General features: G+C 50.3%; 2 protein-coding genes across 8 annotated transcripts in view, besides 7 other annotated features; one reads left to right on the top strand and one right to left on the bottom strand.

The window, feature by feature from the left end:
* Nucleotides 2164-2263: a silencer, noted in NCBI's record as "silent region_3186". NCBI's record gives its function as "represses an Ori minimal core promoter by ATAC-STARR-seq in GM12878 lymphoblastoid cells {active_cell/tissue: GM12878}" and the evidence as "EXISTENCE:reporter gene assay evidence [ECO:0000049][PMID:35858748]".
* Nucleotides 2344-2853: a silencer, noted in NCBI's record as "silent region_3185". NCBI's record gives its function as "represses an Ori minimal core promoter by ATAC-STARR-seq in GM12878 lymphoblastoid cells {active_cell/tissue: GM12878}" and the evidence as "EXISTENCE:reporter gene assay evidence [ECO:0000049][PMID:35858748]".
* KCNJ11 (potassium inwardly rectifying channel subfamily J member 11) lies at nucleotides 2557-6655 on the top strand. Of its 4 annotated transcripts, NM_001377296.1 has the most exons (3): nucleotides 2746-3062; nucleotides 3827-3885; nucleotides 4057-6655. In NM_001377296.1, exon 3 carries the CDS (start codon nucleotides 4073-4075, stop codon nucleotides 4982-4984), a length of 912 nt encoding a protein of 303 aa, NP_001364225.1. In that variant the 5' UTR covers nucleotides 2746-3062; nucleotides 3827-3885; nucleotides 4057-4072; the 3' UTR covers nucleotides 4985-6655. The 4 variants fall into 4 exon arrangements, with proteins under 4 accessions (NP_001159762.1, NP_001364225.1, NP_001364226.1 ...); NM_001166290.2 differs by lacking the exons at nucleotides 2746-3062; nucleotides 3827-3885 and adding an exon at nucleotides 2557-2729; NM_001377297.1 differs by lacking the exon at nucleotides 3827-3885.
* Nucleotides 4062-4715: an enhancer, noted in NCBI's record as "H3K27ac-H3K4me1 hESC enhancer chr11:17408735-17409388 (GRCh37/hg19 assembly coordinates)". NCBI's record gives its function as "activates a minimal SCP1, AML or CMV promoter by ChIP-STARR-seq in naive H9 embryonic stem cells {active_cell/tissue: H9 hESC(naive)}" and the evidence as "EXISTENCE:reporter gene assay evidence [ECO:0000049][PMID:30033119]".
* Nucleotides 4716-5369: an enhancer, noted in NCBI's record as "H3K27ac-H3K4me1 hESC enhancer chr11:17408081-17408734 (GRCh37/hg19 assembly coordinates)". NCBI's record gives its function as "activates a minimal SCP1, AML or CMV promoter by ChIP-STARR-seq in naive H9 embryonic stem cells {active_cell/tissue: H9 hESC(naive)}" and the evidence as "EXISTENCE:reporter gene assay evidence [ECO:0000049][PMID:30033119]".
* The window catches only part of NCR3LG1 (natural killer cell cytotoxicity receptor 3 ligand 1), a 29862-nt gene continuing 16476 nt past the window's right edge, over nucleotides 10242-23627 (bottom strand). For 3 of the 4 annotated variants that reach the window (NM_001202439.3, XM_011520074.4, XM_011520075.4), the window contains exons 4-5: nucleotides 22939-23036; nucleotides 14562-19897 (exon numbers count right to left, since the gene is read on the bottom strand). In NM_001202439.3, the coding sequence (NP_001189368.1) occupies nucleotides 19391-19897; nucleotides 22939-23036 (605 nt within the window). In that variant the 3' untranslated portion in view covers nucleotides 14562-19390. Of the gene's footprint in view, nucleotides 10807-12237; nucleotides 19898-22938; nucleotides 23037-23627 lie in introns of those variants that run through there. The other variant, XM_047426906.1, reaches the window with a different exon arrangement.
* Nucleotides 12519-13718: an enhancer, noted in NCBI's record as "MED14-independent group 3 enhancer chr11:17399732-17400931 (GRCh37/hg19 assembly coordinates)". NCBI's record gives its function as "activates an origin of replication core promoter dependent on BRD2, BRD4, P300/CBP and CDK7 cofactors, and independent of MED14, by STARR-seq in HCT116 cells {active_cell/tissue: HCT116}" and the evidence as "EXISTENCE:reporter gene assay evidence [ECO:0000049][PMID:35650434]".
* Nucleotides 15025-15563: an enhancer, noted in NCBI's record as "NANOG hESC enhancer chr11:17397887-17398425 (GRCh37/hg19 assembly coordinates)". NCBI's record gives its function as "activates a minimal SCP1, AML or CMV promoter by ChIP-STARR-seq in naive H9 embryonic stem cells {active_cell/tissue: H9 hESC(naive)}" and the evidence as "EXISTENCE:reporter gene assay evidence [ECO:0000049][PMID:30033119]".
* Nucleotides 19985-20185: a silencer, noted in NCBI's record as "peak1220 fragment used in MPRA reporter construct". NCBI's record gives its function as "represses an SCP1 promoter by STARR-seq MPRAs in K562 erythroleukemia cells {active_cell/tissue: K562}" and the evidence as "EXISTENCE:reporter gene assay evidence [ECO:0000049][PMID:32103011]".

The raw sequence follows: 23627 nt of genomic DNA, 5'->3' as shown, positions 1-23627 counted from the left end.
CTGGATCATGTCTCCATCTCCATCCCTCAAGCAGGGGCATTCAGAAGTGGAAAGGTGGTCCTTCAGAGGGAAAGCACAGTGCATGAGTCACAGGTCAGCCAGGTGGTGTCTGGGAGACGCTGGAGCCCAGACACCAGGGAGACTAAAACAGCAGCTGTCCTGACTTCCTCTGCATCACGAAACAAGAGTGCACACCTGCCCTTGGCCAAGAAATGGCAGGTGCTCATTTACATCTCATTTTATGATCATTTGCATATCATCTGCAGTACTGGCTGCACCAAGCCCTGAGGTGCAGACCTAAGAGTCTTGAACCTGCATCCTCTTGGCTGCAAGGGGATCATAGAGGCACAACATAAGAAAAGCCCACCAGTTATCGGAGGCAGGTCCAGTGCAGACCCCTGTGGATGTTCCAGGAGCCAGAGAAGCTCGGAAAGGAAGAGCTCTGTAAAGCCTGGCAGCCTGCCTGGAAAAGACAAAATTTGAGTTAAATATTGTGGGGGATAGGGATTGGTTAGGCAGAAAGTCAGAGAAAGGGTTGGGGTGGCAGGTAGGGACAGCAGGAGCTAAGGAGTGATGGTGGAAGTGTGTTAAGAGTGTTGGTTGATCAGGGAGGTGGGAGAGAGATTACAGCAGTGGGGAGGGCATCATATCAGAGAGCCCTGAATGCCAGAGCAAGGAGTGTGGGCTATGCCCATGGACAAAAAGGGAGAAGGGTTTTGAGCAAGAAAGCGACTTGACAAGTTCAGTATTTGGTGGAGATGACTATAAGCAAGTGCAGGATGGAGCAAAAGGGGAGGCTGAGCCTTTCAGGTGGGAGACTCAGCCTCTCAGAAGGGTGAGCAGCAGGGAGGGAGGTAAGGCCTCAAGGCTGCACCAGGAGGCAGAACCCAGCCTTTCCAGCTCTGAGATTTCCCCAGGGGCCCAGCAGCTTCCTCCACTGTGAGATCTCCCAAGAGCAGAGCCGGGGAACTGAAAGAGGACTCCACAAGCCTACCACTGCTCCAAAGCCACCCCACCTCAACAGATTGAAGGGAAGTAGCAGGGGCAGGGCTGGGCCCACAGTGAGGTGTTGCAGGGATGCCCAAGGTCATCCTGGCCCAAAATCCCTGTATAACATCCCTCATGGCCCACCGACTTGATTTGGGTACCCCACAGATGTGGCTCATCTCTGGTTATTGTTATTAGAACTGACTCTTGCATATGTGAAACCAAAGCCTGCCTCTGTTCCACTTAGTGTCCTGGTTCTACCCTTTGGGCCACAAAAAACTACTAGTTCATCCTCCTTCAAGGCCAGGTGTTTCTGCAATAGTGCCCAAATCCCTGGGGGACTTTCCTTTTCTGATGGCTGGACAGTTGTAGTTGCCTCAGAGATTTCCCCATGTAACCCTGTCTCCTTGAGCTTCCCACTCTGCTCATCTCATTTTACCCTCCCCTTCCTAGACACTGCATCTTTGTTAATATAGCCCATGATCACACCCATCCTTTGTAGCGGTGTTCGCTCTGCCTGCAGGTGGGTAGGGAGAGAAAGGAAAATCCAATATAAAATGCATATCTTGCCCCCACTGTGGCCCACAGCCACACTGCCTTTTCCAGACCCTGTCTCAAGCCCCCACTCCAACAAAATGGCCGCAGATGGTCAGGGGTTCTTCCATAAGGATCTGAGCCACAGACAGCGGTAAAGCCGTTACTGTTCCAACAACAGAGATCTAGCAGGCTTTCCCTCCCAGCTGAGAACCCGGGTCCATGCCACAGGGCAGCCTCAGGCTGATGCCTGAACAGAAACACCACCATGCCGGGACCAAGAGCCTGGGTCCCCCAGTGCCCGAGGCAGCCCTAACACACTGTTCAGGCCTAAATACCACCCATGACCTAACGTGGAAGAAGTCAGGTGACAGGTGTGAGAAAGTGTAAAGCAAGTGGCCTCGGCTCAAACCTTCTTTAAAGTAGGGCCGGAATGGCTGAGAAGATGGAGCCGCCCAGGCTGCCCCACAGCAGTAGCAGGTGTTAAACTGTGCTCCTTTCCTGCCGAGGCCTTTTTTTTTTTTTTTTTTTTTTTTTTTTTTAATGAGAGGGAGTCTGAGCTTCCATCAGATTGTCAAAGGATTCAAGACTAAGATTAAGAGCATCCCCCAAAGAGAAGCAGCTGCAGGTTGAGAAGTCCTCGGACCGCCTAATTTCCGCCAGCCCTGGGATTGGTGGCGCCGCCTCTCAGCGCCTCCTTTCCCGGGGAACCTGCAAACCTGGCGCGGCCGAGAGGCGGATTACTGACCCAAATACGGATGGGGATATTGGGGGAGGGGAGCCAGGGCGACAGGGCGGCGGCCCCAGACTGGGAGGGCGGGTCACAGATCCCTCCCAGCCCCCCACTTTCGTAGAGCGTGGGCAGGAGGAACCTCTGGGTTCCGCGGATCAGAAAAACTCCAAAGGCCGGGTTGTGAGTCCCGGGAGGGGAGGTGGAGGGCGGGGGCGGGGAGGGGCGCGGGAGGGGCGGGGGCTTGCTCCGGCCCCGCCCCCTGCGCTCCGGTGCAGGTCGGGCTCCCCCTGGCGGTCCCCGGCCCCGTTCCTCTCCTCGTGCGCCCCCCTCCCGCCGTCCTAGACCCCTGCCTAGCCCAGGTCGGTCTCCGCGGACCCACGGACGGACAGACAGACGGGAGGACGGCCAGCCGCGAGCGCCCGGGCGGCGGGAGGGGGCGGGGAGGCGACGGCCGTGGCGTGAGGAGCAGGAGCAGGTGCAGCGGCGGCGGCGGGCGGGGCCGGGACCCGGCGCGGAGCGGGAGCCGCGGCGCGGGCGGGCGGCAGGGACCGGGAGGCCGCGACTCGGAGTCAGCCCCGCCGGGTCGCGCGCAGGTCCGGGGAGCCGCGGTTGAGCCGGGTGGGGTGGTGACTCCAGAGAACGCAGGATCCCAAGGAGACAGAGAGGACGAGAGCTGGAGGGGGATCCGGAAAGCGGCGGGGGCGCTCCGGGAGGGGTGGAGTAGGACATAGGGGGCGCACCTGGAGGAGAGACGGGGCGGGGGTGGCCAGGACCTGAGCTGGAGCCTGGGAGCCCGAAGGCCAGACAGGTGAGGCGGGAGACCCGGAGGTGGGGGTGAGGTCCGGTTAGTGGGAGAGATCCGGAGGTGTTAAGTTCTGAGCTGGGCTGGGAAGGCAGGCTGGGCGGGGAGAAGGGCTCTTAGCGGGAGGCCCAGGGGTGGTCAGCTGGTGGGGGAAGCTGGGGGAGGACGCAGGGCCAGGTGGAGAGCCGGCAGGGTTGGGGGCTCCCTAGGCGCCAGGCAGGTGGGCTCAAGGGTGAGGCTGTTTTTTTTGTTTTGTTTTTTGTTTTTGAGACGGAGTCTCGCTCTGTCGCCCAGGCTGGAGTGCAGTGGCGTGATCTTGGCTCACTGCAACCTCCGCCTCTCGGGTTCAAGCGATTCTCCTGCCTCAGCTTCCTGAGTAGCTGGGATTACAGGTGCGCACCACCATGCCCGGCTAACTTTTGTATTTTTAGTAGAGATGGGGTTTCACCATGTTGGTCAGGCTGGTCTCGAACTCCTGACCTAGTGATCTGCCCTCCTCAGCCTCCCAACGTACTGGGATTACAGGCGTGAGCCACCGCGCCCGGCCTGAGGCTGGTATTAAGAAGTGAAGTGGGACCCAGGTGGAGGTAAGGAAGAGTCTGGTGGGGAGTTATCTCAGAAGTGAGGCCAGCACAGGCTGAGTGCAGCCCCAGGGTGAGAAGGTGCCCACCGAGAGGACTCTGCAGTGAGGCCCTAGGCCACGTCCGAGGGGTGCCTCCGATGGGGGAAGCCCCTCCCTGGGGGTCACCGGAGCCATGCTGTCCCGCAAGGGCATCATCCCCGAGGAATACGTGCTGACACGCCTGGCAGAGGACCCTGCCAAGCCCAGGTACCGTGCCCGCCAGCGGAGGGCCCGCTTTGTGTCCAAGAAAGGCAACTGCAACGTGGCCCACAAGAACATCCGGGAGCAGGGCCGCTTCCTGCAGGACGTGTTCACCACGCTGGTGGACCTCAAGTGGCCACACACATTGCTCATCTTCACCATGTCCTTCCTGTGCAGCTGGCTGCTCTTCGCCATGGCCTGGTGGCTCATCGCCTTCGCCCACGGTGACCTGGCCCCCAGCGAGGGCACTGCTGAGCCCTGTGTCACCAGCATCCACTCCTTCTCGTCTGCCTTCCTTTTCTCCATTGAGGTCCAAGTGACTATTGGCTTTGGGGGGCGCATGGTGACTGAGGAGTGCCCACTGGCCATCCTGATCCTCATCGTGCAGAACATCGTGGGGCTCATGATCAACGCCATCATGCTTGGCTGCATCTTCATGAAGACTGCCCAAGCCCACCGCAGGGCTGAGACCCTCATCTTCAGCAAGCATGCGGTGATCGCCCTGCGCCACGGCCGCCTCTGCTTCATGCTACGTGTGGGTGACCTCCGCAAGAGCATGATCATCAGCGCCACCATCCACATGCAGGTGGTACGCAAGACCACCAGCCCCGAGGGCGAGGTGGTGCCCCTCCACCAGGTGGACATCCCCATGGAGAACGGCGTGGGTGGCAACAGCATCTTCCTGGTGGCCCCGCTGATCATCTACCATGTCATTGATGCCAACAGCCCACTCTACGACCTGGCACCCAGCGACCTGCACCACCACCAGGACCTCGAGATCATCGTCATCCTGGAAGGCGTGGTGGAAACCACGGGCATCACCACCCAGGCCCGCACCTCCTACCTGGCCGATGAGATCCTGTGGGGCCAGCGCTTTGTGCCCATTGTAGCTGAGGAGGACGGACGTTACTCTGTGGACTACTCCAAGTTTGGCAACACCGTCAAAGTGCCCACACCACTCTGCACGGCCCGCCAGCTTGATGAGGACCACAGCCTACTGGAAGCTCTGACCCTCGCCTCAGCCCGCGGGCCCCTGCGCAAGCGCAGCGTGCCCATGGCCAAGGCCAAGCCCAAGTTCAGCATCTCTCCAGATTCCCTGTCCTGAGCCATGGTCTCTCGGGCCCCCCACACGCGTGTGTACACACGGACCATGTGGTATGTAGCCCGGCCAGGGCCTGGTGTGAGGCTGGGCCAGCCTCAGCTCAGCCTCCCCCTGCTGCTCATCCAGGGTGTTACAAGGCACTTGTCACTATGCTATTTCTGGCCTCAGCAGGAACCTGTACTGGGTTATTTTTGTCCCTGCTCCTCCCAACCCAATTCAGGACTGGCTCACCCCTCTCCCCCGCCCAAGGCTGCAGAGGCTGTGGGAGGTACTGGGCCCTAGAGCTGTGCGTCCAGCCAGTCCTGGGTCCCCACGATTGACCAGCCACACTCTGGGCCGGTGGCTGGGGAAGAACAATCCCCGAGGGCTGCTGCTTTGCGTCTGTGGCTCCAAGAAGTGCCTGTGGTCAGGCCCCAGCTCTACTTGGTCCCTGAAAAAGCACCTGGCTAAGGGCTGGGCCTGGCCAGCAGGGAGGGCAGTTGATGAGAGAGGGTGTTCCCGCTGGAGGGTTGGTGCTGTGGAGCCTACACCGGCAGGGACAGCCTGGGGCTGACAGGGCTCCCCTCCGAGGGCCAGTTTCAGGTCTGGAAGGGGAGGAAGCAGGGGAAGGTGACCTGAGGAGGCTCGGCTTTGTAGAGCCCCGCTCAGGCACAGGGAGGAGGAGATGCCAGGGCTCCTGCCTTTTGCCACATCGGCCTCGTGCAGTGAGGGCTCTGTGGGCTGGGGCTGCTGCCCCTGCCTACCTCCTGCCTGTCCCCAGAGGCTGAGGAGAGGGGGTACTGTGCCCACCACACATGATTAGGCCTCAGACCCAACTCTGGTCCTGGCTCCACAACAGTGGCTGCCACTCACTTTGTCCAGAAGGTGGCTTGGGGGTGGATATCTTTGGGTTGCTGGAAAAGGTGTGGGAAGGTTCAGGATGGTGGGAGGGACTGAGGTCCCTGAGGTGAAGAGGCCCTTGGTCCTGACGGGTTTGACCCGTGCCTGGACCCTTGGAGCAGTGTTGTGTGAACTTGCCTAGAACTCTGCCTTCTCCGTTGTCAATAAAGCCTCCCCCTCATGACCTAAACTCTGGGCTTTTCTTGCTGGGGAGGCAGCAAGCATGCTGGTGGGAAGGGAGGCAGGGACTGGCAGCTGCCACCCCCTTCAAGAGGCGCCATAGACCCTAGCGGGGAGGGCAGGGGAGGGACGGAAGGCTGGCACCTCTTCCACCAGTTCAGGGGGACTTTCCCCTCTCCTGTCTCAGGTGGCCCAGCCCTGTCAGCCTGTCTGGCCAACTCAGCCTTTGGGCACTCACCAGGCTTTGCAGCCCTGGGCTCTGTCTCTACTCCCAGGGACCTGCTGGAAGGCTGGAGTGCCCAGGGAGAGGTATAGAGGTGTCATAGGCATTAGTGTAGTAATTGGAGCACTAACTCTCGAGCCAACTGCCTGGGTTCGAATCCTGGCTCTAGCTGTATGACTTTTGTCAAGTAACTTAGCCTCTCTGTGTCTCAGTTGCCTCTTCTATAACATGGATGCTAATAGTACCTACCTCATAGAATTGTTTTGGAAGTAAATGAAAAATATGTAAAATGCTGAAGTGCCTGGTCTACAGTAAGTGCTCAATAAATGTTAACTATTGTGATTGCTGCTGAATCAGCTACATGCTGAGGAAACGGCCAAACAAGTGTTAAAGAGAGACGGTGCTTTTATTTTGCCCTTGGTCATGTTTCTTTGCCAGGTCTTTCTTTCCACACGGTGTCCCCTCCTAGCTGAGACCACGATTTTAGGGGCTGTGGCAATGCCTGTGACCTGGTCCCCTTGTCTCCATCTCACCCACTGTAGTCCATCTGCCACACAGCCTCCAGGGTGGTCTTAGAAGGGTGGGTCACCCCCCACCCTCATCATGAAATACCTTCGGTAGTTCCCCATCACCTCTGGGTCAAGGCTAGCTTCTTAGCAGCCATTTCAGGCTGTGACTGCCTCTCCGGCCTTATGGCCCACTGTTTTCTTGCCAGGAGTCTGCACTTGCCCACCCACTTCCCTAGGTACCTCGCTGTCCTATCCCTCCTGACACATAATGTTGAGCTTCCTACCTCCCAGACCTTGCTTATGTTACTCCCTTGGCCTGGACTGCCCAGGCCTCATCTCTGTCTGTTGAAATCCATAAAAATCCAGGCTGAGTGATGCCTCCTCGAAACCTTCCCTGATTTCTCTGGAAAAGGAAGGTCCCTTCCCTCTGCTGTGCTGTGGGCATTCTCCTTTTGCCTACGTTTAGGGGTCTGTCTCCCCATCCACAAGTCCATGGCTTCCTGAGGTCAGGGACTGTGACTCAGCACTGTGGCTGGCTTACATGGAGTAGGTGCTACATGAATGAACAAATGAATGAATGAATAACGGATGGATGGCGTACAGGACAAAAAGCCAGGGTTATTGCTACAGTGTGAGGCCTGCAGACAGGGCATCAGTGAGGGTCTGTCTCAGGCGGCTCCAGAGGCAGGGCCAAGGGGCCAGGAAGTTGCCGCTGCTGGTCTGAGCTCTAAGCTGCCCTCTCCCAGCACCCATGCAGTCCCCAGCGCTGATTCCCTTCCTTGCAGAGCTGACCCATTTCTGGTTTTGAGGGTGAAGGGGTGAAAGCTACTCAGAGTCAGCCCAGGATCCTAGGAGGCTGGCTCTTGCGACTCAGCTTGGCTGCCATTAAGGCCAAGGAGAAAGGCCAGACTCACTAAGGACCTGCTGGCAGTACCATCCTTGGAGCCCAAACCAGAGTAACCTTCCTCCACCCCTCAGGGACCTTAAGCTGCTGGTGAGTGTGAAGCCCACAGAACTGAGGGCTTAGCGCCACCTGCTGGCCACAGAGAAGACTTACTTCGGCAGAGAAAAATCAGGACCACTGGTCCTAGGTTTTCCACCAACTCTGAGGGAGACCCCCAGCCTTAAGGCATAACCCAGGGAGGGGCTGGAAAGCTCCAGGCATAGAGAGGCAGTTCGACCAAGCCTCCCTCCTCCGCGAAGGTGTTCTTGCCCACTGATGGTGCTACCTCCATCTGGGGGCACCCTTTCTCTATGGCACTGGCCTCAACTGGACAAAGAAGTTCACCTGAGCACTACTCAGCCCAGCAGGAACTTCTGTGATAATTTTGTTTGTGATATTCTGCCTCCAGGATTGCATCCCTTAGTCATCATGTGACAGCAGAGGAAGCAGTCTGGCCCATCCACACGCTATGTGCAGAGCTGTCTCAACTCCAGGGCCCCTGAAAAGGAGAAGGGAAGTACCATGTATCACTGTGGCCCAGCAGGACTATGAGAGAAGCACTGTTCTTCTTTGAGTTTGTAGATGAGGACACAGGGTCAGAAAGGGTGGTGTCTTAGACCATTCAGGCTTCTATAACAAAATACCATAGACTGGGTGGCTTATAAACAATAGACATTTATTACTCACAGTCTGGAGGCTAGGAAGTCCAAGATCAAGGTGCCAGTGGATTCAGTGTCTGCTGAAGGGCCTGTCTTTCCCCTGTAATCTTACATGGTGGAAGGTGTGAGGGAGCTCTCTGGGGCCTTGTTACATAAGGGTACTAATCCCATTCATGAGGATTCCACCCTCATCACCTCCCAAAGGCCCCGCTTCCAAATACCATCACCTTGGGCATCAGGATTTAACATGTGCATTTTAGGGGGACACAGACATTTAGCCTATAGCAGGAAGTAATTTGCTAAGATCTCACAGCTAGTAGGAGGCAGGTCCAAGATTTCAGCCAAAGTCTGTCTAATGCCACAGCCCTGCTCTTCCCTCCCCCTCTTTCCCCTAGCACACAGTCCCAGTGACCTAAGCTCCAGCTTTTAGTAGGGCTGCACCTTGTTCTAAGTGTCACATTCACCACAGGGAGAAAGTTGTCTCCAAACCAAGGGAAAGAGGGAAGGTGGAACTCAGCAAGCCCCTGGGCCTCCCTGAGATCCCAGATTGGAAACTGGCAGCAGGCTTGGCTGTTTTGTGACAGCCTAGATTATGTCCAGAACACCTATGGAGTCAGAACAACCTCACTGGCACTTTTTCTGGCCCACGTGCATGATGAGCCCTCCATCTTCTTCCTTCTTACAGGAAGACTGGGCTCTTTGCTTTACAGGCTCTTCTTCCAGCCAGTCAGGTGTCAATGCAGCCTGATTGGGCACATCTGCCACCCATCTGTCCCCAACTCATATCAATGGTGTGAGACATGTCCTGGGCCTCAGTCCTGAGCTTCAGAGGGAAGGCAAGCCAGGCCACCCTCTTCCTGTGTGCTAGTCTAGAAAAACTAGCCCACTCGCACACTAGAACCTGCCCAGGCCTAACGCCTGTGGATTTGGCATCTCCAGCCAATGTCACCATGAGACCCACCCGAGCCCCACTAATGTGCACCTCTGGCCCTTCTGCTGGAGAGGACTCATGCAGCTTCTCCAGGGCCCACTTTCTCTCCACGGGCAGGAGGCTCTGTCCTTCACCTGAGCTCCTCCCCCACATCTTTTTCTAGGGAGAACTTTCCCAGGGAGCTTGCATTCACAGCAGGAGAGCTGCCCTGACACTCCACAAGTCTCTGGGCTCCCCAGGGCCTCTGAGGTCTCCCCAGGCCCAGATATCAGACACTCTGTGTTGTACCAAGTGTCCAGATAACTTTAGCAAGAAGACATGAATTCCGTTCATCAAAGTCATGTTGACCTCAGGTCCGAAGAACAACAGATTGATTCCAGCTTGAAAGAAGCTGGGGAAAGGAAGAACAGTGGGGTTAGTCAGAGCTGGGCCAGAAGTGCCTTTCGTTGTGCTGGATTCTGGGTTATTGGCAGCCCCTCTGCCAGAGCTACCCGTCTAGGGCACTAATCTATGGGAGGGGAAGCAGGTGCTACCCACACCCTATTCTAGTTCCACTCTGGGCAGGTCCAACTCTGGAGTGATGTGAAGAGCAGGCTGCCTGGACTGGCCAAACTGGGTCCAGGAGTGTGAACTTCTGCCTTTCCCCCGACCTCAATTTCTGGCAGGCACCAAGGCCAATGAGTGAAACGAGTAATACAAAATGCCTGTGCAGCTCCACAGCTTATTACCTTCCGTGGGGGAAGCAACAATGTTCAGGTATGCAGCACAGGTTGGCACTGCCTAGAAGCTGTCTATAGCTTATAGGATCCAGTTAACCCTTTTGTTAGTCATGCACCTCCCCTGCATGAAACAATATTGTTCCTTGCAGCACAAATATGTCCCAACCTCCTCCTCCCCAGATCATCAGCCCCGAACTGAAGCAAAACAGACTTTGGGTAGTCTTTCCTCTGTTTACTCTTTACTTCATTTGATCAATTCCAATTTTTTTCATAATGCCATTATTATTGAGGGAAGGGGAGTAACTTCAAGGTAATCCAGAGAGAAGCAAATGCAATACAGTTCTGACTGAGATGCAGATTCCTTTTTGTTAAATGCTGACTGTGTCCTTGGTTTCCCATTCACCTGGGAAGTAGAAGAATAAAAATCATTCCATAGTTCCATCCAAGGAGGGCAGCTGCAACAGTGTGCTCTTGAGCAGGCTGTCTGGGTCATCAGGAAAAGCCATTCCAGTTACTCACGCATTCTCTGAGAAACCTTGTCATCTCTGCCATCTGTCTCTGTGTAGGAACTGCCAAAGTCCTTCGGTTCCCCATCTCAAATAAGCAGTGCATGGGTTACTTCCCTCATTCTAATCCTTCAGTCCCTCCTTGTGTCCGTTTGGATCTTCCAGGAAGCAGCTTTCAAGATGGAGTTAGAAGTACGAGTAATGAGGGGTGATTACCGTGAAAGATAAAGGGGAGAGGCTGTAGGGGGGAAGGCCTCAGACCACCATGCAGGCTGACTGTGAAGGAAAGGCAGGGGGGATGAGGGAAGACTAAGATGAGCCTCAGGCTACAGTACAGTAAGTCCTCACTTAATGGAGTTGATAGGATCTTGGAAATTATGACTTTAAATAAAATAATGTAGAACAAAACCAATTTTCCCATAGGCTAACTGCTATAAGAAAGAATTAAGTTCACAGCATATTTCTGGTCATAAAACACAACATCAAACTTCTAAATAAAGACCAAACACTTCAATATTTAACACTGAAATAAATGTTTACATATACATTTAGGAATGATTACTAATACTAATGACCAATACTAGGCCAGGCACAGTGGCTCATGCCTGTAATCCTAGCACTTTGGGAGCCCAAGGCAGGAGGATAGCTTGAGCTCAGGAGTTTGAGACCAGCCTGGACAATACAGCGAGACCTTATCGCAACAACAACAACAACAAAAAATTAGACAGGCATGGTGACATGCGCCTGTAGTCCCAGCTACTCAGGAAACTGAGGTGGGAGTATCGCTTGAGCCCAGGAGGTGGAGGTTGCAGTAAGCCAAGATTGTGCCACTGCACTCTGGCCTGGGTGACAGAGTGAGACTTTGTCTCAAAAAAAAAAAAATTACTAAAAACAAATAATAATTACTCACCCAATGATTCCAGTTCAGAGTTGTGGGTGGCCAGAGCCTATCCCAGTGGCTCAGAGCACTAAGTGGGCATCAACCCTGGAGAGGATGGTATCTGGCTGTAGGGCATGCTCACACCCACACCCTCACTCACTGTGGCACCATCTAGACACCCCAATTTACTGGAAGTGCTCATTTTTGCGATGTGGGAGGAAACCAGAGTACCTGATGAAAACCCATGCAGAACATGCAAACTCCACACAGACAGTGGCTCAGGTTGGGAACTGAATTTTTTTTCATCAATGTGATAACAAAATGACATCAAATAAAATGATGTTATTCTAGCACCTAATATACACTCTGAGAAAGTCTTGGCCACCCCAGATCCCCGAGATCAGCAGCTGGAGATCTCGGGATATAGTTCAGTATTCCAGCATCAGCTCCCAACACGGAGCTCCTGCCTTGCTCAGTCAGTGGCAGAAGCAGTCTGGGGAGAGCATGGCACCAGCTGGAACACTGATGCAGATCCCTGAGATCTGTAGCTGGAGCCCATCAGCTGACTGCACTCCTCACACAGGCTCTCTCTCGAAGGGGGTCTCAGACACATCTCTGTGGCTACCACACTTCTTTTGGTCAAAGCTCAGCTTCCTGAGGAGTTGTAGCACTTAGCTTATGCTGTGTAACAAAGCCAGTATAAAACAGTGGCTTTAAAAAACATTTTAAATATTAATGTAATATTTAAAATGTTTTACATATTAAAAGTATTTTCCAAGTATTTGAGAGTTGGCTCTGCCAGCTCTGCTGATCTCAGATTTGCTCACATGGAGTCAGGTGGCTGTCATCTAATCTAGCCTGGCCTCCACTGGAGCAACAAGGATGTGGTAGCCAGCATCTCTCATCCTCCAGCAGGCTAGTCTCGACCTGTTCTTCTCCCAGCACCATTAGAAGCACACGAGGAAGCAAATGAAGACACACAAGACCTCTTGGGGCTTACACTTGGAACTGGCACGCCTTCACTGCTGTCTTCTTAAGTTGGCTGAAAGAGGTCACACAGTTAGAGGCACTACAAAGTTACACAGCAATGGACATGGATTCAGGGAAGGGTGTAGGATTGGAGTCATCTTTGCAAACAACTAAAGGATCCAGCTGATCATAAAGGGTTTGTTTTCTTTTTCCATAAGCATCATTGCTGATGTTGGGGTTATCAGCAATAAACTGATAGTTTTACAGTCTCACCAATGCACCACAATGTAGCAGTCTCTCATTGCCCAAGGTATCACCTGAAGTTCTTTGTCTCATAACCAAGAAAATTAAGGAGCATGGACCCCAAAGGTGAGGTTGGAGCAAAAATTTAAAAAGTGAAAAAAGAAAGCTCCCCACTGCCAAGAGGGGGCCCAAAAGAGTGTCGCCATTTCACAGTTGAATACAGAGGCTTTTGTAAGAAATTGATGAGTGCTGGGCATCTCATTTGCATAAAGCATGAATTTCTGGTAGTTCTACCCTATCCTCCCAGTGTGCATGCAGGCCCTTAGCTTGAGTTACTCCATATGGCTTTGTTCCCCTTACTGCGCATGTCTCAGGGAATGGAATTTTCCATTGTGGGCATCTCTGGGCAAGTCTCCTGTGTAGTCTTTCTTACCTAGGCAGCTGTGGACATGTCTAAGGCAAGCCTCCCTGTACAAGTTCTCTTCTCTGTGCCTGCAGTTTGATTTTTCAAGCTGTTCTTTTGTTTGGAAGAATTTTACCGAGGACCCACCCTAACTGCCTGTCTGACTGGTTTCTTCCTTCCTCCTTTCTCATTCCCTGCTTCAGGAGTGGAGACCCCAACTGCTGTTGGGGAAAGTGGACGATGACCACTCCTGGCTGCTTCCTGCTGGAAGGGGGCGTCGTTGGGGTTACAGCAGTTAGGGCTCCTCCTGAGATTGGTCTAAGGGTCCCCAGAAGAATGGCGTGTCTATGTGTGGTTCTATCTGCAGCACCATTTGGAGTTTAATAGCCTCTAAGTGAGAGGAAACAATTTGAGTTACAGTATTGAATATACAAAGTCCAAACATTAGTACAAAACACACGAGCAAAAGGGGGCCTAATAAAGGAGCTAACCAGTTCCACAAAGAAGACTGGAATCCATTTAAGAGGGATTGTAGCCAACTGGGACTGGAGCCCGCATTCTCTCTTAATCTGTCAATGTTCTAATTTGATCTTTAAGCACCTGTACATTCTCTTCTACTTGACTAGAGGTATTGATCTAGAAGTGACATGCTTCTTTTTAAAAGTGCACAGGTACCCCCTACTTTGGCCATAAGGATATCTAGGGCCTGTCTATTTTGCATAACTACTGAGGCTAAAGAGTTTATGAATTGTTGTTGTGCTTCTATGGCTCCTACTGTTAGCTTCTACCCTTGTGGCATCATAATAGAAATATTAAGTACTGATTTTTCAAGGAGAGGAATACCAGCAAACCAGAATAGGCCTCTGACTATAGAATCCCCTATCCATGGTTTTTCTGAGATAGGATTGTCATGTGCAGGTCCTACCCAATCTTCTCTTTCAGTTAAGTCTCCATATGAGGGCATGGAAATGATAGACCTCTTTGTTCAGCGCATCTGAGATAGCACACTCACTAGAAAAGACGCTAGGCTAGGGATGTCCCCAGATGATGCTGCCATATCAGTGGAATTTAAAGATAACAGGTCAGGAACCACTGCCACGATAGTGCAGGTTCCCTTCCAGTGCCTAGGGAGGATTAAGTGTAGCCAGGAGCCACAAAGGAAATAAAGCCCTGTCCCCTGAAGGGCCAGTTCTAAGTTGTAGCTTGTGAGAGACACAGGCAGATCTTTCTCATATCTTAGAAGCTTCCCCCTCCTGCATGTAATAGGAACATCTTTGGGATGGGGATATCTATACTCAGGATAGTCACTCACGATGCCATTTGGAATTTTACATGCTAAATGAGAAAGGTCCACCTGATAAATTGAGTTTTGTTTGTTTGTTTGTTTTTTGAGATGGAGACTTACTCTGTTGCCCAGGCTAGAGTGCAGTGGCACAATCTTGGCTTTCTGCAACTTCTGCTTCCCGGGTTCACGCAATTCTCCTGCCTCAGCCTCCCGAGTAGCTGGGACTACAGGCATGCACCACCACGCCTGGCTTTTTTTTTTTTTTTTTTTGTATTATTAGTACAGACGGGGTTTCACCATATTGTCCAGGCTAGTCTTGAACTCCTGACCTCATCATCTACCTGCCTCAGCCTCCCAAAGTGCTGGGATTACAGTCGTAAGCCACCACACCTGGCCGACAAATGGAGTTTCAAAAGACCAGGGACACGATATGCCCTGGCCAATATCTCAGATAATGCCCCCTTGTGACAGGGGCTGTCAGTCCAGAAGTCTCCTGTTCTGTTCACCCACAGATTTGTAGGCCACTACTACTAAGCATCATACAGGGGGTCTGGAATCCCATGAGGGTGCATGTCTGGGAAGGCCTATGTGTTGTTTTTTACATTATAGTGCCATGTGTCAGGGTGGTTACCCAGAGCCTGCCATTCCCAGCAGGACTTTCAACCAGGAGGAGACGCTGAATTCTGAAAGCCTCCCCTCCATATGGCTTCCAATTTTCTTAGATCATCCTTCTTATGTCTTTTTCTCCAAACTTCCGAGCTTTCAGCAATTACAAGTATGGTGTTATAATATTTGAGATCTCCCAGGTATGGTCCTTTTCCTCTGCTTTTAAAACAGGAGGAGGCATTTGCTATTACCCGGCCAACTTTTCCTAGCCTGAGGGTGTGAGGCTTATCTTTGGGGAAAGTGTTTTCTGGCACCAGGGAGGAAATGCTTTCCTGGGAGGAGTTAGTTACTCAGTTGAAAGTGTTCCCATACCATGTTCCATTTATGCCTGACAAGTCTTTAATGGCTAAAGGTAAAGCTAACAAAGGGAATGCTAAGACAGTAAATACCAAGTCATCAAGAGGTTCCTTAGTGTTACTGAACTGAGCAAACCGCTCAGGACAGACCCAGCAATTTGTCTTGTATAAATGGGACATGGCTGACACAGTAGAGGCTAAAGGGTGTGACGTATTACCAAACCCAATAAAAAGTCCTAGCAGACTCGGCCCTACTGGGTAGAGGCTTCTTTAAATGAGGGACCATTGTTGTTTTGGAAGTACTTAGGGAGCCCAAAGTGAGGAATTATTTAACTAATTAGTATTCTCACCACCTCAGAGGCCTTTTCTGTTGGGCATGGGAATGCCTCTACCCAGTTAATGAAGGTATGCACCCACACCAAAAGACATTGAATGCCATTTATTTTGGGCATATGGGTGAAGTCTATCTGCCAGTCCTCCCCTGAGTAACTTCCCATCCTTTGATTGTGGTGGGGAAGAAGTCATCTGTTAAAGGGATTATTTTTAAGAGGGTTTCACGAGTATTAACAACCTATTTGACCATTTTTAGTAGATTTTCTCCTGAGAACAATCTTTGGATGCACTGATGTCTTATGCTTTCCTAAGTGAAAGGCTCAGTGGAGGATTTTAAGAATCTTCCATTGGCTGGAGGCTGGCAAGCGTACTTTGCAATCTTCTGATTGTAACCATCCTGAGGGTTGAAAAGTATACCTCGAGAGGTGGCCCATTCTATCTCTGTAGGGGAATACTGAGGCTTTATTTCCCTTATGTAGCCCTCCCAAATCAGAGGGGCCTCAAGTGTTTTGGGACCTTGGGGCCTTCTTACTGCTGACTTAGCTCTTTGGTCTGCTAGCCTGTTTCCTTTCGCTATTTCATCTACCCGCTTCTGATGCCCTCTGCAATGTCTGACCACTAATTCTCATGGGAGGAACACTGAGGATAATAGCCTGTTGATGTCTTGATGGTATTTAATGCAAGACCCATTAGCGGTGAGGAAGTGCCTTTCCTTTCAGATGGCAGCATGGGCAAGGAGAACTAGAAAGGTACACTTGGAGTCAGTATAAATGTTAGCTGTCTTTCCTTTGCTTAGTTCAAGTGCTCTTGTGAGAGGGATCAGCTCAACTGATTGAGTGTGTGTGCCTGGTGAGAGAGGCACATTTTCAATGTTATTTAGGGTGACTACTGCATATCCCACTTTTCAGACTCCCTGTCCTACAAAAGAGCTCCCATCCATAAAGTGGGTCCAGTCTGGATTTTCTAGGGGAATTTCTTTGAGATCCTCCCTAGCGGCATAGGTTGTACTACAGTCTGTTCACAATTATGTTCAGTTTCTCCAGTTTCCTCTGGGAGGAAAGTGTCTGGGATCAGGCAAGGTCAGGTTTTTAACTGGACTGCAGATTCCTCTAGCAGCAAAGTCTGATACTTGAGGAGGCAGCTGTCTGTTAGCCAGAGACTCGCTTTAGAGGACAGCAAGCCTGCCACATTATTTATGTGAGGCATAAACAGGTTATTCCCCAGGGTTAACTTGGTGGCCTCTGGGACTAGCAGGGCCACTACTGTAACTGCTCAGAGGCAAGCTGGCCATCCTTTAGCCTCCAAGTCAAGCTCTCTACTTAAGTAACCTACTGGCTGTTGAGCTGGGCCTTGAACTTGAATTAAAACTCCCAGGGTCATTCCTTTCCTTTATGATACATAAAGATTAAAGGACTTCCCTACAGAAAGACTGGGGGCTGGTGCTTTAAGCAAGGCTTGTTTTAACTGATTAATGGCCTTTTGACCTTCAGGTTCCCAGGTCAGGAAGTGAGTTTTAGCCACTTGAATTTCTTTTATAAGGTGATATAAAGGGCAACCTATTTTATCATACCTGGGTATCTATAACCTACAAAAACCTGTAATGCCCAAGCATCCCTCAGCTGCTTGAGGGTTCTGGGGAGAGGAAGGGAGGAAATGGGATTAATCCTCTCCTCGCCTAGTGCTCTTGTTCCCTTCTGACAAGACCAGACCTAGGTACTTTACCAAAGTCTGATAGAGCTGAGCCTTAGATTTTGAAGCCTTATATCCCTTTCCAGCTAGGAAATTAAGGAGAGCCTCAGTGCCGTCTCAAGAAACTTCCTCAGTTGGGGCACAGAGGAGAATGTCATCTACATATTGTAAAACTTTAACCTGAGAATGGAAGAATTCGAAGAGATCTCTTGACAATACTTGCCCAAATAGGTGGGGGCTATCTCTAAATCCCTGAGGCAGTACAGTCCAGGTTAACTGGGTGGTTTGATTGGAGGGGTCTTCAAAGGTAAACAAGTATTGGGAGTCAGGGTATAAAGGTATACAGAAAAAGGCATCCTTTAGGCCCAGAACTGTGAACCATTTAGTTCCCTTGGATATTTGAGTTAGCAAAGTATAGGGACTGGGATCTACTGGATGAATCGTAATCACAGCCTCATGAATAAGGCAGAGGTCCTGAACTAGTCTCCCTTCCCCATTGGATTTTTGCACCCCTAATATTGGGGTGTTTCAAGGGCTACTGCAAGGCCTAAGGAGGCCTTGTGCCTTTAGGTTATCAATGCTGGCGTCTAGCCCTTTTCTACTTTCTGGCTTCAGAGGGTATTGTCTCTGGTTAGGAAAAAAAGTGGGATCCTTGAGGTGGATCCAGACTGGTATAGTGGTTATAGTCCGGCCACTTCTTCCCTGAGTTGCCCAAACCTCTGGGTTAATACTGGTTTCCACTAAGGGGAGGCGGAGTTTGTCCTGGAGCCATAAGGATGGTGGCCCCCATACGTGCTGGAATATCTCTATCTAATAAAGGAGTGGGACTTTCAGGCATGACTAAAAAGGCCTGTGTAAACAGTAGGTCCCTCTGACTGCAACTAATAGGTTGAGAAAAATATCAAGTTAAAGTCTTTCCTGAGATGCCCATCATGGTTGTGCTATGGGAGGAACGAAGGCCTGAATTGGAGAGGAAAACAGAAGCCTGGCTCCAGTGTCCAGAAAGAAGTCTACCTTCCTCCCTTCGAACTCCAGAATCACCTGGTGCTCCCGGGTAGTAACAGCAGTCTGAGCCACTGGAGCCAGGGAGTTGAGCCCCAGGACCCATCAGTCCTGCTGGACCATTTGTGAGACTGGCTCTGGACTCAGTGACCTATGCTTCCCAGGACAGTCTGCCTTCCAGTGGTCCCCATTGTATACTGGACAGGGTTGAGGTGGCTTCTTCTTGCTGCCTGGGCAGTCCCTTTTGAAGTGCCCTAGTTTGCCACATTGGTAGCAACTAGCAGGTGTACCTTGGGGATACTGGGTTTTATACAAAGTGGCCACCAGAGTCTCTGCCTTTTTCTTGTGTTTCCTCTCCTTCCCCTGGGCCTCCTCCTGGTCCCTATTATAAAAGACCGAGGTGGCTACCTTCAGGAGGTTTTGTAAGGTGCTATCTAATCCCATGGCCTGTTTCTCTAGCTTCCTTCTGATATCAGGGGCTGTCTGAGTAATAAACTTGTCTTTCAAAATTAGCTGTCCCTCAATTGAATTATTTATGTGAGGTATAAACATACCTAACAGGAGACAAGGAAGTGTGTTTCACTACAGCCTCTCTCAGCCTTTCCAAAAAGGCTGAGGGATTTTCATCTAGTTTTTGATCTATCATGGAGAGTTTGGGGTAATTAAGAGGCTTGGCTCTGGTCCTCTGTAGGCCCTCTAATAAGCACATTTGAAAATGTTTTCTTTGCCACTCATCTAAGGTACCACTGGGGTCCGAATTATGTTGTTCAAGGGGCACTGCCTCGCTTCCTATTGGGTATGTGAATGCTGGTTGTTTCTCACCTTCTTTCCTTATTGAGTGGCTATAGAAGACATGTTGTTCATCTCTGAATTTTTCTGCTGCCTGCAGGGCTACCTGTTTCTCTGTAGTAGTTAAGAGTTTAAGAGCAACATAACATCACCCCAAGTAAGGTCAAACACCTGAGTTAGGTTTTGGAAAGCCTCTATATATCTATCAGGTCATCAGAGAACTTGCCCAGGTCCCCTCTTATTTGCCCAAGGTCCTGTAATGAAAAGGGAACTTGGACCCTAGTGGCACCAGGTCCATCAGGCATTTACTGTAGGGGTAACAGTAAAGTTGGGGGTTGGGAGGATAGAACTGGAGTTGTTGATGTTGTGGCTGGAGGAGGTTCCCAGATAGGGGAGACAGGAAGGATTGGGGCATCCGGAACTGCATCCGAGTGTTCCCTAGGGGTTTGTTTCTCAGACTTTGTGGAATTATCATCTATGGACTTGCCTGATGTAACTGTTAGGAGAGCAGGGTCAATTCTACAACACTGACAAAGATCTGGGTTGTCTCGCAAGGCAAAGAAGGCTTGCACATAAGGAACCTCGGACCATTTGCCCTCCTGTCTGCAGAAAACATCTAGTTGTTGAATAGTATTAATATTAACACTTCCCTCAGGAGGCCAAGCCTCCCCATCCTGCAGCTGGTAAGACGGCCATGCCCGAGTGCAAAAGAATATGAGGTGCTCTTTCTTCAGAGTCTGAGTGTCAAAGGAGTTCCAGTGTTTCAGAATGCACTTGAGAGGAGTATAGGCTGAAGATGATTTGTTACATATCTAGAAAAAGAGGAGAGAAAAGGCATCCCTTAGTCTCCTTTGTCCTTCTGGAGTGATCGACAGCAGAGAGAAAAATGGAAGGGGCGTCCCCCTTCTCCTCTTCCCTCCCATTTCCTCAGGTTCCTGGTGACCATTATAGGTGCTGCCCATGGATCAAAGCATGACCTTCACCCATGAATCCGGAGGAGCTAGCTTGTGCTCACCTGCACAAGGTCCTAGCTCTCTGCCCTGCTGGTTTCCTAGACCTACTTGGCCCATAAGGCTCCTGAGATTCCCTAGAACCATGGGAGAGATTGTGCAGTAGTTGGATTGGGGCAAGACCCTTTAAGGAAGGGAACATCTTAACTCTATCCTTACATCCTCTTACTACCACCCTGGCAAAGTTATGAATTCCTAGAGAATGAGACTGATTGATTTCTAAACACAAGATCCCTTTCTCACTTAGATGCCAGTGTAGCTGTGTACAGAACAGATGCCTCAAAAGAATGTAAAAATTGAATGGCTGTTCTCCCTCCAATGGGGATAACACTGAGGCTAAAATATGTCTTCCCAGGGTAGCTTCTTCCTGGCTGTTGAAAGAGGAGTTTTTATGCTTACAAATAGGGCATGGGGCCTGATCACTGAAAGAGGGACATAAGAGAGAAAGGAATCAGGGAACTAGAGGTTTTGGGCAAAGGGCTGACAAGGCTTCTCACAGAGAAAAATCCCATCCCACTAGGTAGCACTATAGGGTTTGAAATGTTAGGAAAAAACTCTGACTACAAATTCTTTCCAAGCAGAGGTCAGAAAGGGAGGTTTGGGGCTTAATAGGCTGTCCCCATAATATGCTGTCCAGTAGAAAAAAAACTAGTTTGTCTCATAGAGGGAATGCTTAAATTCATTGGGCAATGCTGAGCTCTTACATGAAGGAAAAACAACCTGATGGAGAAAAGGGTATTCACTTGGGGTGAAACATCCCCCTATAGAGTGCCATGAATGTCTATCACTGGGGGACAAAAAGGCCCTAAGTGAAAATTTAGGCTGAAATCTTGAAGTCCCCCTGTCTCAAGGAAATCACAAAAACAACAATTATTTGAGTTACATTCCTCGTTACTAAGGCACTTGCTGACTTTGCTTAACAGGATTATCTCCCCAGGCTATAAAGACACCCACAACATTGCATACAAAGAAGGAATAGGAGACATAGTAGCTGCGAAAAGCAAGGAAGAAAATGCAATAGAAAAGTCTGGAAGTCCTGGTGCCAACATTCTGACGGGCTGTCGGGGGCTGGAGTTAGTCCAGGGACCTTCAGGTAACACTGAGGAGTAGCCTCAAACAGAAACCTTCAGTTGCCCCAGGACCTCCTTCTAGCCCATGTGACAGCTAAGTCCTCTGTGAAAGGAAACTGGATTAGAACAGAGCCAACATTCCCAACACCTGAGGGTGAAGGGGGACTGACAAAGTCCTCTCCAGCAAGCCTGTATCTTAAGTCTCATAAGGTTGGCAGCCGCTCTAAAAGCTTTTAACTGGCCCAGTGTTTTGTTCAGTCTTCAGGAAAAAATCTGAGGACAAGAAGCCTCTGAAATGAAAGTAAAGAGTTTGGAGGTCCGCTCCTACTCACCCTTCCAATGTTTCCTGGCCAATGCACCAAAATGTTAGTCTCGTCAATGCACCACAATGTAGCAGTCTCTCATTGCCCAAGGTATCACCTGAAGTTCTTTGTCTCATGACCAAGAAAATTAAGGAGCGCGGACCCCAAAGATGAAGTTGAAGTGAAAGTTTAATAAGCAAAAGAAGAAAGCACTCCACTGCAGAGAGGGGGCCCAAAAGAGGGTTGCCATTTCACAGCTGAATACAAAGGCATAAGGCACACATTTCTGGTAGCTCCACCCCATCCTCGTAGTGTGCATGCAAGCCCTTAGCTTGAGTTACTCCATGTGGCTTTGTTCCCCTTACTGTGCATGTGTCAGGGGATGGAATTTTCTATTGTGAGCATGTCTAGGCAAGTCTCCTGTGTAGCCTTGTTTTAATGTATGTGGCTGTGGGCATGTTTTAGGCAAGCCCCCCTGTACAAGTTCCCTTATCTGCAGTTTGATTTTTCAGGCTGTTCTTTTGTTTGAAGGAATTTGACTGAGGGCCCACCCTAACTGCCTGCCTGACTAGTTTCTTCCTTCCTCCTCTCTCAATAGCACCTGAATATCAGAACCAGAGAAAGGCAAGAAATATGACAACAGTCACAAATACCACAAGAAACATTTGAAAACCACTTTTTATCCAGTTTTCTCATGGCCTAGATCCAACAGGAATAAGTCCCGTGAATCTAAATGGCCAACTTTAGATAAAGGGCCATTTTTCTTAATTGACTGATTATTCCACTTCTCCTAAATTATTTATAATGAGATGTACTGGCTGTTGTGCAGATTTTGCCTTGACAGGCCCATAAATAATTGAGGGCCCTTTTATTATCTAAAACTATTTTAACCAACACATTTACATAGGTCTCTTGGGCCTCTAAAGCTTGAGCTGTTTTATTTACTATTTGGGCCATAGTCAGGGATAAAAATGTTTAGAAACATGTTTTAGTTTAGAAATACCTAGTGAGGGTTAGAAATTCTTAGTCAAACTAGTGAGATCTGGTGGTCAGTTATTGATCAGATAAAATATGAGGAATTCCCCTCTCTAAGCCATAGTTTCTAAATGTGTGAGAAAAACAAGCAGTCCACACATAGTTCAGGGCCTGGTCTGAACACTAAAGTCTGGTTCATTCACAGAGATATAATACTTGTTTAGTATGGAGAAAGAGAGGGAGGCTTTACAACACATCACCCCAGAGTCACAAACCACCATACAGAGGTCAGATGGTATGTGACAGCTAGGTCCTCTGTGATAGGAAACTGGATTGGAACACAGCCAACATTCCCAACACCTGATGGTGAAGAGGGACTGACAAAGTCCTTTCCAGCAGGCCTGTCCCTTGAGGCTTGTAAGGTTGGCAGCAGCTGCTCTAAAAGCTTTTTACTAGCCCAAGACACAGGGCTGAACTTTGCTTTGGAGCCCCTTACCTTTTTCCAAGGAATCAAAACAATTAATAAAACCAGTCCAACACCAATGAATGAAATAGGCCACCAATGAATGGAAAAATTATCTGTCTTCTCAGTTTCTGCAGAGAGAGAAGGAAAACATTAGCAGGAAACCTACTGGCAAGGGCCAGAGAAACCACACAACTGCTGCTGGGAACTGTGTGGTTGTGTCATCCTCCTTGTCAGAGATTTAACCACCAGCCCTCTGCCACATGTCTCAGCATCTCCATTCCTATCACATACACCTCCATACATCAAACAGTGTATGTAGCACTTGCCAAAAATATGGAAGATGAACACCACGTACCACATAATTGTGCTACCCTCATCTTCAAACCTTGTGTAATACGACACCATCTTCTATCCCTATGTGCATACCACATAGACAACCCCTCGTACCATACATGCAAGGTATATTTCCATTTCATACTCCCCATGGACACACATACCCTCCCTGCATCCCTGCACATGCCACCCACACACACACCTAGTCCTAACTTCCAAGAATAATTCCTCTCTCCCCAGGATCATCCTGGGCCCCATATGGCATTGCCTGACCACATTCCTCAGTGCCCCAGTCACTCCCTGCCTTCCTTACTCTTCTCAGCCCCAGGGAGATGCATTTTACCAGCAGAGCCACCCACACCCAAGACCAGAGCTATGACCAAGGC

The sequence above is a fragment of the Homo sapiens genome, chromosome 11, assembly GCF_000001405.40.
Source record: "Homo sapiens chromosome 11, GRCh38.p14 Primary Assembly".
NCBI classification, from domain to species: Eukaryota; Metazoa; Chordata; class Mammalia; order Primates; family Hominidae; genus Homo; species Homo sapiens.
Note: the sequence above shows the minus strand (reverse complement) of the source record. Positions and strands in the feature narration are given on the sequence as shown.